General features: G+C 38.8%; 1 protein-coding gene across 20 annotated transcripts in view; it reads right to left on the minus strand.

Moving 5' to 3' along the window:
* Nucleotides 1–15,866, minus strand: part of RALGAPA2 (Ral GTPase activating protein catalytic subunit alpha 2) — a 323,115-nt gene that overhangs the window by 218,061 nt on the left and 89,188 nt on the right. For 18 of the 20 annotated variants that reach the window (XR_007067471.1, XR_937111.3, XR_007067470.1 and 15 more), the window contains 4 exons: nucleotides 12,873–13,040; nucleotides 11,687–11,824; nucleotides 8,453–8,601; nucleotides 3,725–3,836 (listed from right to left, as the gene is read on the minus strand). Coding sequence is in view for 12 of the 20 variants with exons in the window: in XM_011529310.3 (XP_011527612.1) it covers nucleotides 3,725–3,836; nucleotides 8,453–8,601; nucleotides 11,687–11,824; nucleotides 12,873–13,040 (567 nt within the window). In the remaining 8 variants the exon portion in view is untranslated. Of the gene's footprint in view, nucleotides 1–3,724; nucleotides 3,837–8,452; nucleotides 8,604–11,686; nucleotides 11,825–12,872; nucleotides 13,041–15,866 lie in introns of those variants that run through there. The other 2 variants (XM_047440323.1, XM_047440322.1) reach the window with 2 other exon arrangements.

Genomic DNA, 15,866 nt, shown 5'->3' on the forward strand with positions numbered 1-15,866 from the left:
TTAATAAATATTAGATCAATAAATATAATCTGAGCCAAGTAAGAGAAGAAAGTAGAGACTGATAATGTTATTAGGACTCAGACTCACATTTGGATATAGCGCCAGCTTCATGGATAAAAGCAGATGTCTTGGTGTAATGAGATGCTCTATACTGGGGATCTTATAATGGCTTCACTTTATTGACTAATTATGAAACAAGCGCAGAATGACTTCTTGCAGCTTATAAAATCAACTTAGCAAATATTACAAACATGTATGCAGACCTGTTGAATTATCATCATAATTCACAACTGACAACACGTGCACAGAGCAAAATGGTAAAATGGTAAAATACAGTTGGGTGGTGAGTGGTGGCACCTGTGGACATGAAGGCAGGGTGTCCTTTTAATCAATTACCATTTTCTAAAAGGAAGAGGGAAACAAACAGCCTGGACTACCCTGGTTTGTGACCTAGGAAAGTCACTTGGCCTTTCTGTAGTCACATTTCTCATTAAAAATAAGAAGTGCATAAGAGCTTCTCCAAGGTTCCTTCAGTACTGAAATTTGATGTTTTATCAGATACATTTTGGCACACAAGATGTATTTTAAAAACACCTTAACTAATAAATCACTCCTGTTCTTATGAACATTTGCTAACCAACCACTTCCTACTTCACTCTACCAACACACTAAGGGGACTGCGTAACTTTAAAGTAATGGCTCATATTACAAAGAGCAGGACCACAGTTTCCTGATATACCATCAGAGCTTCAAGCATAAGGTCATATTTAGCACTGATAATAAATTAAAACATCACTTAAGGCAATAAGGCAGTCACCATTATTTGGTAAATATTTAAAACTAAGTCAAATTCAGTCATCACTTAAAGAAAATTTGGTGGCCCAGGTTATCTACTGACAGAAAAAAAAACAAACACTAGAAGAACTAGAAAAAGATAAAAAGGGTAATAAAAACTTAAAAATGTCCCGTCCCTTTTAACAGTCTCCTTGTTCTCAATTTTTCAAAAAAAAATCAAGTGTCTAGCCATTTTAGACAGTCCACATGATCAAATGAATACTAATTAGATAGCATGTTTTAACGGCAGCGTGGGACCAAGATGATGCCCAATAGAGAGCCTGGCTGGTAAGTCCAGACCCTTAGTATTCTTGCCTCTTGCATCTCACGTAAGAACGTGGGAGGTCAACAGATGATCACAAATCCCAATGGGCCCACTCTGATTCTCATGACAACCCTGCAGGGTAAGAAGAAGTCCTTTCCTGATTGTGACAGATTAGGGAAGACACTCAGAAAGCTAAAGTCATGTGCTCAAGGCCACATAGCCAGAGAGTAGCAGAGCTGAGATCAGAAACACAATCTGCCTAATGCCAAAAAGCTCATCCTCTCTTCACTATTTTTTATGGTAGGTTTTTTTGTTTGTTTTTTGAGACAGGGTCTTGCTCTTTTGACCAGGCTGCAGCACAGTGATGCAATCATAGCTTGCTTACAGCCTCAACCTCCCGGGTTCAAGCAATCTTCCCACCTCAGCTCCCAAGTAACTGAAACTTCAGGTGCATGCCACTATGGCTGGATAATTTTTTTAAAATTTTTTGTAGAGACAGGGGTCTCACTCTATTGCCCAGGCTGCTTTTGAATTCATGGGCTCAAGCAATCCTCCTGCCTCAGCCTCCCAAAGTGCTGGGATTACAAGTGTAAGCCACCATGCCCAGCCTTTTGGTTAGTTCTTAATTTAAGCATCCTTCTCGATCTACCTAACCACTGCCAAAATAATAACAACATCAAAATCATTAATAATCATGAACTCAAAACTAAGTTTCAGGGAAGTCAGGTTAACTGAGCTTCAGGGAAGTCAGGTCATCTGAGGAGGGAAGTAATATCTGACAAGGTTTTCTCCATTCATGGGGGGAGTTTTTTTTTCCCCAAAGATCAAAACCAACCAACCAACCAAAAACAAAACAAAACAAAAAAATCCGAACCCCAGAATAGATACTTGTTTAATTCTGTGACAAGTTCTCTAATTCCAACACACAAAACAGATGCAGAGCCAGGCAATTGGTGGGAATAAGGCCCAAGCATCTGCCAGTGTGAGACTGGCTTCAGCTCATGTCCACTTGGCAGCCCAGGTCCAGGACGGGGAGCTCGAAAGGGTGCCAACAGTGAGACGCTTCGCTGAGAAAGCAAAGTGTGCAGTGTCCATATGTCCAGGCAGGCAGCAAAGCAGTGGTCAGTACCACCCTCCACGCATCAGCAGAGCAAAGCTGGACACATGCAAAAGAAAGTTTAGGGCCACTTCACACATCCAATGTACCAGGCAAGGCAATCAGAGTAAAAGCAATTGTAATATTCAGGAGGCCAATTATTTCAATAGCCTCTCATACATTTTTTATCAAGCCAAGAGCATTGACTCATATTAAGTTATTCAAAATTCCGTTATCTTGTGTTACAATGGCAATATTTAGCTTTAAAGAAATAATTTCTCCTTTTGTCACTTTTACCTACATGTCCTACCCATATTCTAGATATGCTTTTTAACATATATCCTCCAAAACCACCTTCAGGTCAACTGAGGAGGGAAGTTAATTTCTCCTCCCCACAACTATCACCTATGTAATTATCCAAAGTCAAGTCCATCCACTGTACTAATATCTTTATTTATGTAGAATGTAGCATTTTTCCAGAGCCCTTTCACACTGTTCACTTTCAGTAATGCTTCATAAACTCTAAGGTCCTCATAAATATTAGCAACATCACAGTAGGCTGCCATGCTCAGGACTCTCTGGCACATCTGTTCCCCAGGCAGCTCACCAGGTATCAGCCTGCTCTTGGTCTTCACCTGCTCACCACATGAGATGCAAGAAGCACAGGCATCTCTTTGGCTCTCTGCTCGCACCAAAGACCGGCCCAGCCCTCCACCATATCCGGGACCTCACTTATCCTCTGTCTCCCCAAGACCATCTTGTCCTCCCTCACTGGACCATCCCATTGGTGAGCAAACATACTTTAGTACCACCCACCTTAAACCTCGCCCACCATGTATGCCACCGACTTCAGCTAGCTCCCCTTTTCCTCTTCCTTTCCACAGCAAGAACTCTGCAAAGCCTTAACTACACTTGCAACTTCCACTGCCCAGCTCTCATTTTCTCCTCCATCTACTCCAGGTGGGACTCATCCCATAGAACATTCTCAACCAACTACATCTGTCAAAGCCCATGGTCAACTGGCTGCTCTCCTCCTACCCAATACTCATCCCCAGGCACCCAGGATACACACTCCTCTGGTTTTCCTCCTCACTCACTGGCCACCCTTTCTCAGCATCTCTCCCATCACCTGTGGACATTGTCCTCTCTAGGTAAGCCCATCCTGTGGCTTTAAATACAATTGCCCAACACACTGATGGCTCTCAAAGTTTTATCCCATTCCCATACTTTCGTTCATCCTTTACCTCTCCAAATCTACCTAGCCTTCCACCAAGGCCATCAGAGCTTCCTAATTCCTACCACCCTTGAGCAAATTAAAAGAGGAAGTAGGTAGCAGAGAGGGAGAAAAGCCTAAAAGCCCAGCACTAATTGTAAAGAACAGATCATAACCTTCAGGACAAAGCTAAGAAGAAAAATTTCTAGAAATTTAAATTTAATATTATTTTTAAAATTCTCAATGATTAAAACTAGTTTGCTACAAAATCTGATTCATTTCTTGCATTTGCAGTGCTTTCATAAAAAAGACTTACCCTAAATAGTAACCCTGCCAAGCTCTGGGCAAACAAGTCCTTTATTTGTTTATCCTTTGGCTTCTGCATGACAGCTTCTGTTATCCTGAGTAGTATTTGCAACATCTGTTCCCTGGGCCACCCAAAATAAAAGCTCATATTAATAATCATGTCTCCAAAGCACTTTAATTTATAGGTACCAGAAATTCTCTTAAGAATTCAGCAACATTGATAATTATGTATTACTCGAAACTATTAAAGTCCAGATGCCAATTACATAATGAATACCATATTTTACCAAAATAAGCTCCCTTATGTTATAACAGTTTTAAAAACATGCCTCCCATGTCCACACAAACAGGCAGGATAAAACATCATTCCAGCCTGATTTTCTCCCCTTGCAAAAAGAGAGGCAAGATCGTCTTCTCCAACTGTGCCAGCAGCTTAAAGGTACTCAGTGAAAACCTACTGGAACATATGCAGCACTCTTTAATTTTGCTATCCACTGTTTTACTTAACCTGTAAGGTCTCCCTCTCATTGCAACAGGAGGTGAAGCTGACTTTCTGGCCTTTATTTTGGGGACACACACAGTCAGTATCTTGGTAAGGTGGAATGCCACAGTACTCTCACAGGCAGGAGGGGTTTGCATTACAGGACACTTACAGGCACAGTGCTCATGTCTGGAAGATCCTGACTCTGCACTACAGGGCACAACTGAGACAAATGCCATCACTGCAGCTCAGTTCCAATGTGCCAGCATTTTTCATAGTCTCTTACAGAAGGTTTATGTAAAAGGACTTTGAAGACTATAAAATAGTACAGAGACAACATAACACTGCTAATTACAATAATAAGTTCTTCAGAACAGCCAAAAGACATTTTTCTTTCTTACACCTAAGTTATATTGCTCATATCAGAGTATCTGCTCACTTTTTCTTTCCCTAGATTCTATGGGAACACAGAACACATCATCTTTCATATGTAAGAGAAGTGCATTTGTTCCTCGAGGGAAATCACTCTGGTTCCTTTCAGGTTTCACATGCTAACCATTCATCTAATCTTTACTACTTTCTCCTTGGCTTTACTGCTCTTTAGTAATAAAACTGAGAATAGGACAAAGTAATCAGATGAGATCTCTAAATCATAGTTCCCGTTTACTTTTCTCATATCTCTGCTTATCAAAACAGCATTTTCTCCTAACAATATATGATGCTGAACCTCATAAAATTCCTCACAGTAAAATCACCTGTGGGGATTTCCTGCCCTCTTTGTAGCTGGCCCCATTTGATTTTGGTCCCCAGAGTCATCTGTTGTTATACATTCTCACTGCACTGCATGCTACTTGTCCATGTATTCCTATTCCCTGCCTACGGATTCTGGAAGCACAGAAGAGGAAGGGCTATCTTCTGGGCACACACGCTGAAGCAGGATGGTGACTTTGAAGAGAACTGGGAGAAGCAATGGCACAGTGCTGGGGGACAGCTTGTCGCTCATCACATTCAGGGTACCCAGGCCCCTGTCGCCAGGGCAGAGAAGGGCAGCACCTAGTATCACCACTGCCCATTCATGTTACATGATGCATAAGACAATGAAAAACAATCCCTTACACACAACTAGTTACAGATCCATCATGAGAATGTGATGAGAACAACAGACATCGTAAGTTTCAAGTAAAGCCTTGATCATGGCAACTGCTATCAAAAGCCACAAATGTGATCAAAGCCATGACTGACAAAAACAGTTAATTTGATTTCTGAACCTATGAAAGCTTGGAAAGGCATGCAGAGTCTTCTGGAAGAAAACAAGGGTTGAAAAACTATGATTTGGAAAAATCTTTCCTTATAGTAGAAAGATTCACAACCTGCCAAAGCTGCCAGTTTTGACAACTGCTTGTTCCTTTCTATTTTGTGAAGCACTGACTCCACCAAGGAGAACTGCTCAAAGAGTGTAATAAACTTCTGTTGGAGCACATGGAATGAGGCATGTGTGCCATCCTTGGGTCCAACACAGGAGTGAGGATTTTCCTGCATTCTTCATTATTTTCCTGATCTCTATCTCCTCATACAGGTGGATTTCAACTCATTTACATACCAGTTATTCCCTATTTCAGGACCATTTCTTACAGTTCCCTGGCTACAGCCCTGGTCTCAGCCACCATCATCTATGGCACTGCACTGCATGTTCTCCAGCAGCCAGAGGGGCCTTTCAGAAGCATAAATTATGTTATGTCACAATCTTGCAGGCACACAGGGAGGTAGCTGGTGTCCTTCCTTTGGTCTGCAGGGCCCTGAGCAACCTGGCCCCGGCCTGCCCCCTGCCTCCTCCCCTCTCACGCTCCCTCTCACTCCATCTACTCCACCACATTGGCCATCATCTTGTCCTTCCTTAAACAAGCCACTTTTCTTTTACCTTTTCTCCCATCAGGGCTTTTGTATCTGCTGCTCTTTCTACCAGGAATGCCCTTCCCTTAGACCTCCCCAAGGCTCCCCCTTCCCTTCACTCAGGGCTCTGCTCAGAAAGGCCTTCTCTGACAGCTGACGGAAAAAACTCCCCGTCTGTCCATGCCAAGCAACACACACCCAATTCAGGACTCTTTCCCCTTTGCAACCTTCACTGTTCTCAGTACTTCGGAGTCTCTGAAATTGTTTTCTAGGTTTTTAATGCCTCTCAGTCCTATGAGGATGTAACCTCATGAGGGCAGGGACCTTGTCTACATAGTTCGCCACTATATTCTCACAGTAGAAGCTCGATAGTTATTTATTAGATGGAAGAAAAGGAGGTAAGGAGAGAGGGGAGAAGAAGGAGTGAAGAAGGAAAGGAGGGATGGGAGGCAAGGGATTATCTGGTACTTAAATACACAAGAAAATCCATTACAGAAACTGCTCACACTCTTTTCTATGCTCTATTGACCATTTTTCCGTTAACTATTTTCATCGAGTTCTACAATTTTTCTTTTCTATACTTTCACCTAGGAATCTATGAATTAGTAAAAAACAGAACAGAATTGCTTAATTTTATTTCCTAGAATTTTCATCAAAATAAAAAGATTATCAAAAATATCAAAAAACTACTGATACAGTAGTATACAAAACTCAGGGAGTTTTCAAAGGAAAAAAACATTAAAAATGATGTTGATAAAACTATGGTATTCAGGAACAGATATTTCAGTTGAAAGCATATACCAGCATTTCTCATTACTGTCAATATTACTGACGTGGAATTTGTTTACATCATATTGTGCATCACTGTAATATTTCCAGTTTTAACAATTGTTTAACTTGGCAAATAGTGCTAAGTTTAGAAGTCTGGGAAAGATGACATTGGAATCTACATCATAGTATCATTTTGATGCCTGTGGTTTCTGTACTTGTGAACTTTCTGCACACCAAGATTCTTGAGTCCACCCTTCCCTCATCTTTGAAGAACAAGAATTGGACTTGGTGGCCTACAGTTCCTTTCCGATCAGACCTGCCTCGTGTCCATGGTTTCCTACCAACTGCAGACACTTTCCAAAGCCCCTTTCCTGCTGATTCAAGGGCCTCCAGAATACAGGCATAGGCAGAGGACCCTTCTGGTTTCAGGTAGGAAAGGTGCCACTGGTCTGCAGGGCCTCCAAGGACTGATAACCAAGGCAGAAGATCACCTAGGGGGATGCTGACCACAGCTGGGCGGGCAGCTTGATTGCACAAGGGTGGCAGTGGAATGAGAGGGAACACACAAAGGACAGGCTTGAGGAGCATTTTAAAGGCAGAAGTGAGAGGCTGATGACACATGGAGAAGAGGAAGAAATGGAAAGTGACTCTGAGGCTTTCTGGTCTGTTGCTGAGCATCAGTGAAAATACCTCATCAGATGGAGTAACGTGAGGACTTTTTTTTTTTTTTTTTCCCGAGACAAGAGTCTCACTCTGTCGCCCAGGCTGGAGTGCAGTGGCGCAATCTCACTGCAACCTCCGCCTTCCGGGTTCAAGCGATTCTCCTGTCTCAGCCTCCCGAGTAGCTGGGATCACAGGCAAGTGCCACCACACCTGGCTAATTTTTTGTATTTTTAGTAGAGATGGGGTTTCACCATGTTAGGCAGGTTGGTCTCGAACTCCTGACATCAGATGATCCACCCACCTCGGCCTCCCAAAGTGCTGGAATTACAGACATGAGCTACCGCACCTGGCTGATAACTTTCAAATAAGAGCAGGAAAAAAAAATCTAATGCATTGTTTACCTGTAGGGACATTATAAATAAAAACATCAAACAAAAACAAAGATGAAAAGGAAAAAACGTAGTTTTAATGACAGGAACAGATTGTTGACTGCACTATGTATTTAGTTTCTGATAATTTATCATTTAAAATAATTGCTTTTCCAAAATGAATTTAAAACGTCAAGTTAGAAGCAATAAAAATCAGTTGACAGCATTTCAGGGCAATTAACAAACTCTCCTGAGCTTATGGTGAGTATTATAAAACACCAGTTGCTGCTTTTCCACAAAACTATGTTTAACGTTTAAAAGGAAAAATCCACTATTAAGTAAAATACTTATTGTTCAAGAACATTTTTTAAAAATATAATGAAAATAATTGATCTGTCAAAGTACTGGGTAACTACCTTCTTCATAATTCACAGAAACTGTTACAAAAGACATTTTGTTGTTAAGTTCGTAAAAACATTAAATAAATGCAAGCCTTAACATTTTAATTATGTTGAAAAACAGAAACATCTGTTTTACAATACTAATTAATTTGATATAAACTTACCATGTCTTTTTATTCATTGTAAGCTCCATTATCATGCGCCTAAAAATAATCAAAACAGCTTTACAAGCATCAACTTGTTCTTTCAAGAGCACAGGAACTTCAGCACATGGTTCCAACAAAAAGATGTTTGCAGAGTTCGTCAAAAATACCTTAAAATCAACAACTTTACATTAGAAAATATAACTGAACATAAACATTTGAATAAATTTTGCTTACAGATATTAATTTCACTCTACCAATGAAATCATTTTTCAGTTATTTCCAAAAGATTCTATTTCAATAAGGCAAGTGGTACCAACACATATTCAAAATTTTTTTTTGGTTCACCTTTTAGAATCACTTAAATACAGAGACACCTGAAAAGCCTTTCCCTAGGGGAAAAGAAAAAATCACTATTACATATTAATTGCAACTACAGAAATTTTATGAGTCAGAAAAGCTTTTGAAGACTTTTCAACAACCCCTCAACAAAAAAAGGAAAACAAGGGAAAAAAGTAGGATCGTTGCATATGAGTGAGAAACTGTAGAGGGGGAATGGGAGGAGTAGAGGATAGATGGCCAGACAGTGGTCAGACAGAACTATGTGATTCTTATTGAGTCTCCCAGCACATGAACTCCTTGCTGACAGAAGCATGGACAGCACCACTCAACAGGGGTCAGAACCTCAAGGAGCTGTGATGTGTCCAGAAACAGACGAAGCCATCGACATCACACGCCTTCCAGGAGGCTATTTTTTTTTAATATGAAAGATATATTATGCAGTAGCATACAAAATCTAAGTGAATTCTTAAGATTAAAAGCTGAGATTTCAAAAACAATTCAGATTATCAGCCAACTACTCTACCCTCTGCCTCAGACCTTTAGCATACAAGTTCACTGTTCTCTACCATCAGGGGTATCTCAGCAGAAAAATGTGAGAAGCACTGATCCAGGATATCATATACTATTACTGCTTTGAGTCACTACAGCAAAATAACGGTGTGTTACCATTTACACAGTTGACACCAGTGTCCCATCATCTGCAGATATTCTGAGTTGTCAATTTGGTACGAGGACAGACCTGCTCTATCTACCTAGAGGTATATTGCCTCTTAGGTCTCCTTTGTGTTCAATAACACAAACTCAAAGCATGACGGAGCTTCTCTAGCTCATTTATAAGTAAAATTTTTTAAAGTATTGTATCAAAATAAATGTACAATCTGACGAAATTAAAATTAACATCAAAAGTCAAGTGGATGAACTAAAATATTCACAGCCTTTAAAGTTATCTTAGGTAAGATTAAAACGTATTATGTCCCAATTTTCTAAGAAAAATCACTAAATAAGCACTATAATATAGTTGATGATGATGATAACTTCAGTCATGAAGAATTTACTAGCCTTCGAGTAAGAAAAACAAAAACAAAGAGCTTTTTGATTACAGCAATTTTAGTGGTTCTGTTTTTGAAAGTAGTATGCCACAGATGATATATTGCAACACAGATCCTTTTAATTCAATGTATTTGGCTTCTTGAATATGAATTAAAAACTTTTTGCACATTCCCATGTAAGGAGTCTTTATATACTTTTACTTTTTACAAAACATCAAAGGTACTGCATGAGTATTTCTTATTAATGTGCTGGTATCAGTTAAGGTAAAAATAAACCAAATTAGTATGTCCAGAGTACATTTGTCAAAAGCAACTATAGAAAACTACTATCTCTTGAACATCTGAGACACAGTCGGAGAAAAGAAAGAAAATTACTGTCTTATCAAACCTCCATTTGGCCCCTTTTTCTTAATAAACAAAGTAAAGGACTAAGGTATTAGATATAAGAACAAAACCAACTATTTAAATCCAAAGTAAATCTTTTTTTTAACTGTAGCACTATATATAATAAAATAGAAATTGTTTTTTCTCAGTTCAGGCAAGGACAGTAAGTCCTCATTTAACGTCATCAATAGGTTGTTGGAAATGATGACTTTAAGCAAGATATAAAAAAATTTTTTTTCTCATGAACATTATGATGAAATGATGTTGAATCAAACCATGTTACTCAAAGACCTGCTGTACTCATTTCATTTAAAGTCGCCATTTCCAAGAACCCACTGATGACATTAGTGAGGACCTACTGTAAATGTAACTCAACCTTTCAGAAAATAAAAAGCACTCTTTTGAACCAAGGGGATCACTGGCACCTGCAACCACCACAGGCTGTTGCTGGAGATCCCCTTAGCTAAAAGATGGAGCTACTGAGGGACAAAGGGCAAGGACTCCTGCAAGTGTTTCTCTGATGGGGACGCAGGTCATACTTATGAGCAGCACCAAAAGTCTTTAAAGATGCACATGTGAAATCATCTCAACTTTTTTAAGTTAACTTCAAAATTATGTGTAGGTTTTCAATGAAAAGTGAGAAAATTCATGAGTATGGTATATTAAACTGCTAATTCACTTGAAAAAAAAAAGGATACCACGAAAATGAATCCTATCAAGAAACAGATGACAGAAAATTAGAAAAATGCATGTCATTCCCAGATGTTCCCCAGACTCCACACCTGGCCTCTACATGAGAGGCCTAAGTGACACATCTCCAAATGTGGATGAAGGGTGGCGGGCGAGGGGGCAGTGAGCAGGGAATGAGAGGCACCCTGTATTTTCACTTACTCTTCAAGCTACATGAGATCTGAGAGGAAATCTCCCAATTCCCATTTTTGAGGTAAAATCCTGAGCTCTGGGGAGGTTAAGTAATGTTCCAAAGTTGCTCTTTCAAATGTTCCCAAATGGAGTCAGTTCTATTTCATATATTCATTCAAATCTAAAAACTACATCAGTCATTGTTCTTTGTAAACACAGCCAATTTTAAGAGGAATATTACTTATAAGATTTTATAATTGCCAAGCTTGTCTTGCAAATTAGAGCCCAGATAACTTACTACTCATAAGTGTTTGGAAGATAATTTAAAGATTTAAATATCAGCCATTTCATATTCACTATATAATAATCTCAAAAAGACTGTAACCAGTTTTTATGTCTTCTTTGACTAGAAAAAAATTTTTGTAAATTGTGGGTAGGAATTAGAAAGAAAACTCAGAATGAGAATGTAATAGCTAATTAAATTGCTGTTTATCGTTTACTGACAGATGGCTACAAATACCACCATACTTTATATGACATTATCCCCAATAAACAAAAAGACAAAATGGCTCCAGCTGTAGGCGGTGGAGGGGTCTTCATGTCCTGGCCAGCCACATACCTGCAACAAAGCCTGGACGCCGGCTTTCACATTTGTATTTTCCTCCTCTGTCACACACCCTCTGCTCATTGCACTTGTGAAGGAGTATGTGCGTCCCCAACTGGAAGATCGTTTATGACCAGAACTTTCAGATGAGGCCTTCAGAAGATAATGATCCATTAACAGAGTGGAAGATGCACGTGTTTAACTTGCATTTAACTATAAATATAATTAAATATATTATATAAACTAAGTTATATTTAGTTGGCATATTTAATTCCTTAAACTCACCAGGATTCACATGAAAATAGGTTCTAGGAGGTAGAGAGCTCCCCACTCAACCGTCAACACCTAAAATAGTGCTCAGCACTTAGTATGTGCTGAAAGAATGAGTTGTGTTTGTCCAATGACTGAGTGAGCATGGAATACAGCCCTTTAAAATGAATGATAATTTGCTTACCTATTCATTTAGATCTCATGGTAGTTATTAAAATGATTTCACCAATATTGAAAAATTAAAATTATGGAACACAGATATTTTAAAGTGACATGCCTCTAGTGAGAAATTTAAAACATTTTAAATTAATTTCATAATAGTATGACAGAAATATAAATGTCACTTAAGTTTCTTTTGTTTCAGGAGATATTCCACTCTGTCATTTTGGATTTATCCAACCTATAGCTTTATCTAACATGGACAGTGGCCCCTCCAGGAGGCCAGCACTCAGCGAGGCTTAAAGGGGAGGGACACTGCTGTTTGGTTAGTCCTTTCACAGGGGTAACACCCAGCTGCTTCTGGTACAGGCCACTGCACAACAAAAGTCTACCCAAACATTCTCAATTTAGTTTCTCCAAAAGATATTTATTTAAACAAGTCAAGGAGAAGGTAGTGATTTTTTTAGTCTCACAAATAGACATGTAAAATATGATGGCTTATTAAACAACTCTCCTGCAACAGTGACCAACAAAGATGCAACACGCAGATGGCCCTGGCTAGAGTTGCAGGAGATGACTGCCAATCTAGAATGGGAGTACAGAAGCTACTCTCCTTGGTAGATCCTCACAGAACTCAGCAACTCAGAAGCATCAGATGGGATAAAAAAGAGATCCACCTGCCTTTGTCCCATTGACAAGACTCTTGACTGAGCAAGTATACTTTACTAAAATATATTTACCCTCAACTCAAAAGACAAGTGAAAAAAATTACCTCCTTGCTATCAGTCTCGGAAAATCCTAATTTTTCAGCATCTTCTTGGGCAACATCTTTTCTATCTGGCTCCTCCATGAACACAGGTTTGTCCTGGAGAATCCACTTTCTGTACACTTGAACTACTTTTCTTGTTACAGCTATCTCACAGGAAGGCAACAAAAATGCCTGAAAGGAAAAGAGAAAACTCCCTTTAACTACAAACACACTCAGATCAGTATAGGGCAGCATCACGGACATTCCCAATGAGCATCACCCATTTCACTTTCCTTGGAACACACAGCTTATAAATATACTACACAGGGCCACAAATCTTTGTGCACACCAAACTTACCAGCAGCAAGAAAGACATTCTCATAAGAGAGCCCTAAAAAATGGCGTTAAAAATAACTTTTATAGGCCGGGCGCAGTGGCTCACGCCTGTAATCCTAACACTTTGGGAGGCCAAGGCAGGCGGATCATGAGGTCAGGAGTTCGGGACCAACCTGGCCAACATGGTGAAACCCCATCTCTACTAAAAATACAAAAATTAGCTGTGCGTGGTGGCGTGTGCCTGTAATCCCAGCTACTCAGGAGGCTGAGGCAAGAGAATCACTTGAACCCAGGAGGTGGAGGTTGCAGTGAGTCAAGGTCGCACCACTGCACTCCAGCCTGGGCAACAGAGCCAGACTCAGTCTCCAAAAAAAAAAAAAGGAAGAATGAAAAAAATAACTTTTATATTCTGAATAATTTGTCTATAAAAATAACCAAATCAAATCATATCTATAGAAATATTTTAATTGGCTACAAAACACAATTATAATGCACAACCTGGACCTTTTCCCAACAAATCAGAAATAGGTTAGAAGGGACATGCTGGTACAGCAAGTGGCAACCAGTCGTGCCCACCTCTTCTCAGCTCCATGTTCACTGATGTCATGGTGTTGGCCTGAATCAGCCATGGTGGGAGTGGTTCTACTACAGAAGTCAGCATCTGTTACAAATCAGGACTTTGTTTCTTTTTTTTTTTTTCCTTTTCTTTGCTTTTGTCCTTCTTCCTTTCCCTTCCTTCCTTCCTTTTTTGTTATTATTATTTTTTTGATATCATATATATCAGGTTTCTAATATATCAGGTTACTAATGAGTTCAGCTATCAATGTTAACAAGAGCCTCTGGCAAAGTTGTAGCATTGTGCATATTTATAAGAACTTTTTAACATTAAGGAATTCCCTTATACATCTCCATACAACAATTTTGATTTAATGTGAGAAGATTCCAATAATGTTAAACAATTTAAAGGAGAAATGCATTTGCTTTTCGCTTATCAGTTTTAAGGACTATTTCTATATTTGAGGGGAACAAGAGGGAGAGGTTCCCCATACTCAGATGCTTTAATGTCACAGATGAGGATACCGAGGCTTACAGCACCAGAGGTATTCTTCCAAGGTTACAAAGTTAGCCACAAATCCAGGTCTTGGTCTCAAGTTGCTGGCACTTGTTTTAATACTGCCCTTAAGGTTCATGCCACAGGATCCAGTTACAGGCAGAACTCACTTTAACAAAGCTTCATGCAATATATCAATATCGAGATAACTGTGGTATCAAAAGCCAAAGTAATGGGATTTAAAAATGAAATAACTCAAAAACTCAGTGTATATGAGATGGACAGAATGGACATAGCTGAAGAGAAAACTGGAAGAAAAATCAGAAGAAAATATCTAGAATGAACTATGAAGAGATAAAAGAATGGATAAATCAGAAGAGAGGATAAGAAAGAGAAAATACAATGAATAGGTTATCCAATGAATGACTGGAGATGCAGAAAAAAACAGGAAAAAAAAAGATGGGGGAAAGAAACAATATTTGAGGAAAGAGTGGCTGAGAATTTAGCCAAAATGGGTGAAATATATCAATCCTTAGATTTAAGAATCACAAAGAAAAACAAGGATAAATGTGAAGTATATTACAGGTAAAACTGCTGAAAACCAAAGATAATCAGAAAAATCTTAAAAGCAGCCAGAAGAAAAAAGATGTATTTCCTCCAAAGGAGCAACCACGTGACTTTCGATGACTTCTCAAAGAAATAATGGAAGCCAAGAAACAATGCAACAAAAGATTCATGTGCAGAGGGCTGCCAATTTAGAATTTGACACCCAGAAATAAAACACTTCTAAAATGAAAGCAAAATACAGACATTTTCAGATGAGAAAATTTGCTACCAGGAGACCTGAGCTAAGGGAAATATTAAAACTTATCCTTTAGATAGAAGGGAAATTTTCCCTGGTCAGAGATTTGGGAAGCAATAAAATGCAATAAAAAGAGAATGTGGATAAATCTAAATGAACAAAACATATATATGAAAATATATATGAATAAAAAGAATAAAACTGGATGAAACAAACCTTACAGTGGTTCTGAAAGGGATAATATCTACATATTACATATTCATAATAATAACAATGGCATATAAACTGAGGAGTAAATAGAGCTAACATGTGTACTGAGGGTAAAAGTTGAAATTAATGCTAGCATTTATGTTAGGAATGCATGTGTTAACTATTAAAGTAACTACAAATGACCGTAAAACTAATTTAATTTGAGAAGAAAAATGGGATATTAAAAACAATGAGCTTGAAGGTCCAATACAACTAGAAAGTAAGAAGACAGCAGACTAAAACCTAACAGCAGTTGCTATGTTAAACGTAATGAATAATGATCCAATCAAAAGACAAAGATTGTAAGATTTAATTTAAAAATCTGTTTAAAAGACTTCGCTGCAATTTATAAGAAGACATCCAAAACATATGGACGGGGGAGGCTGAAAGTAAAGAGTTAGCGAAAGATGTACCATACAAACACTAGCCAAAAGAAAACTGGTAGAGTTATATCAAAAATAGACAAGATAGACTTTGCGCCCCTCCTCCAGAAAACCATTACTAGAGATGAAGACAGAAACTTCTTAATGACAGCATTCAATTCAAAGGAATATAAACTAATTCTAAGTCTGTATTGCAA

This window comes from Homo sapiens, chromosome 20 (assembly GCF_000001405.40).
Source record: "Homo sapiens chromosome 20, GRCh38.p14 Primary Assembly".
Lineage (NCBI taxonomy): Eukaryota > Metazoa > Chordata > Mammalia > Primates > Hominidae > Homo > Homo sapiens.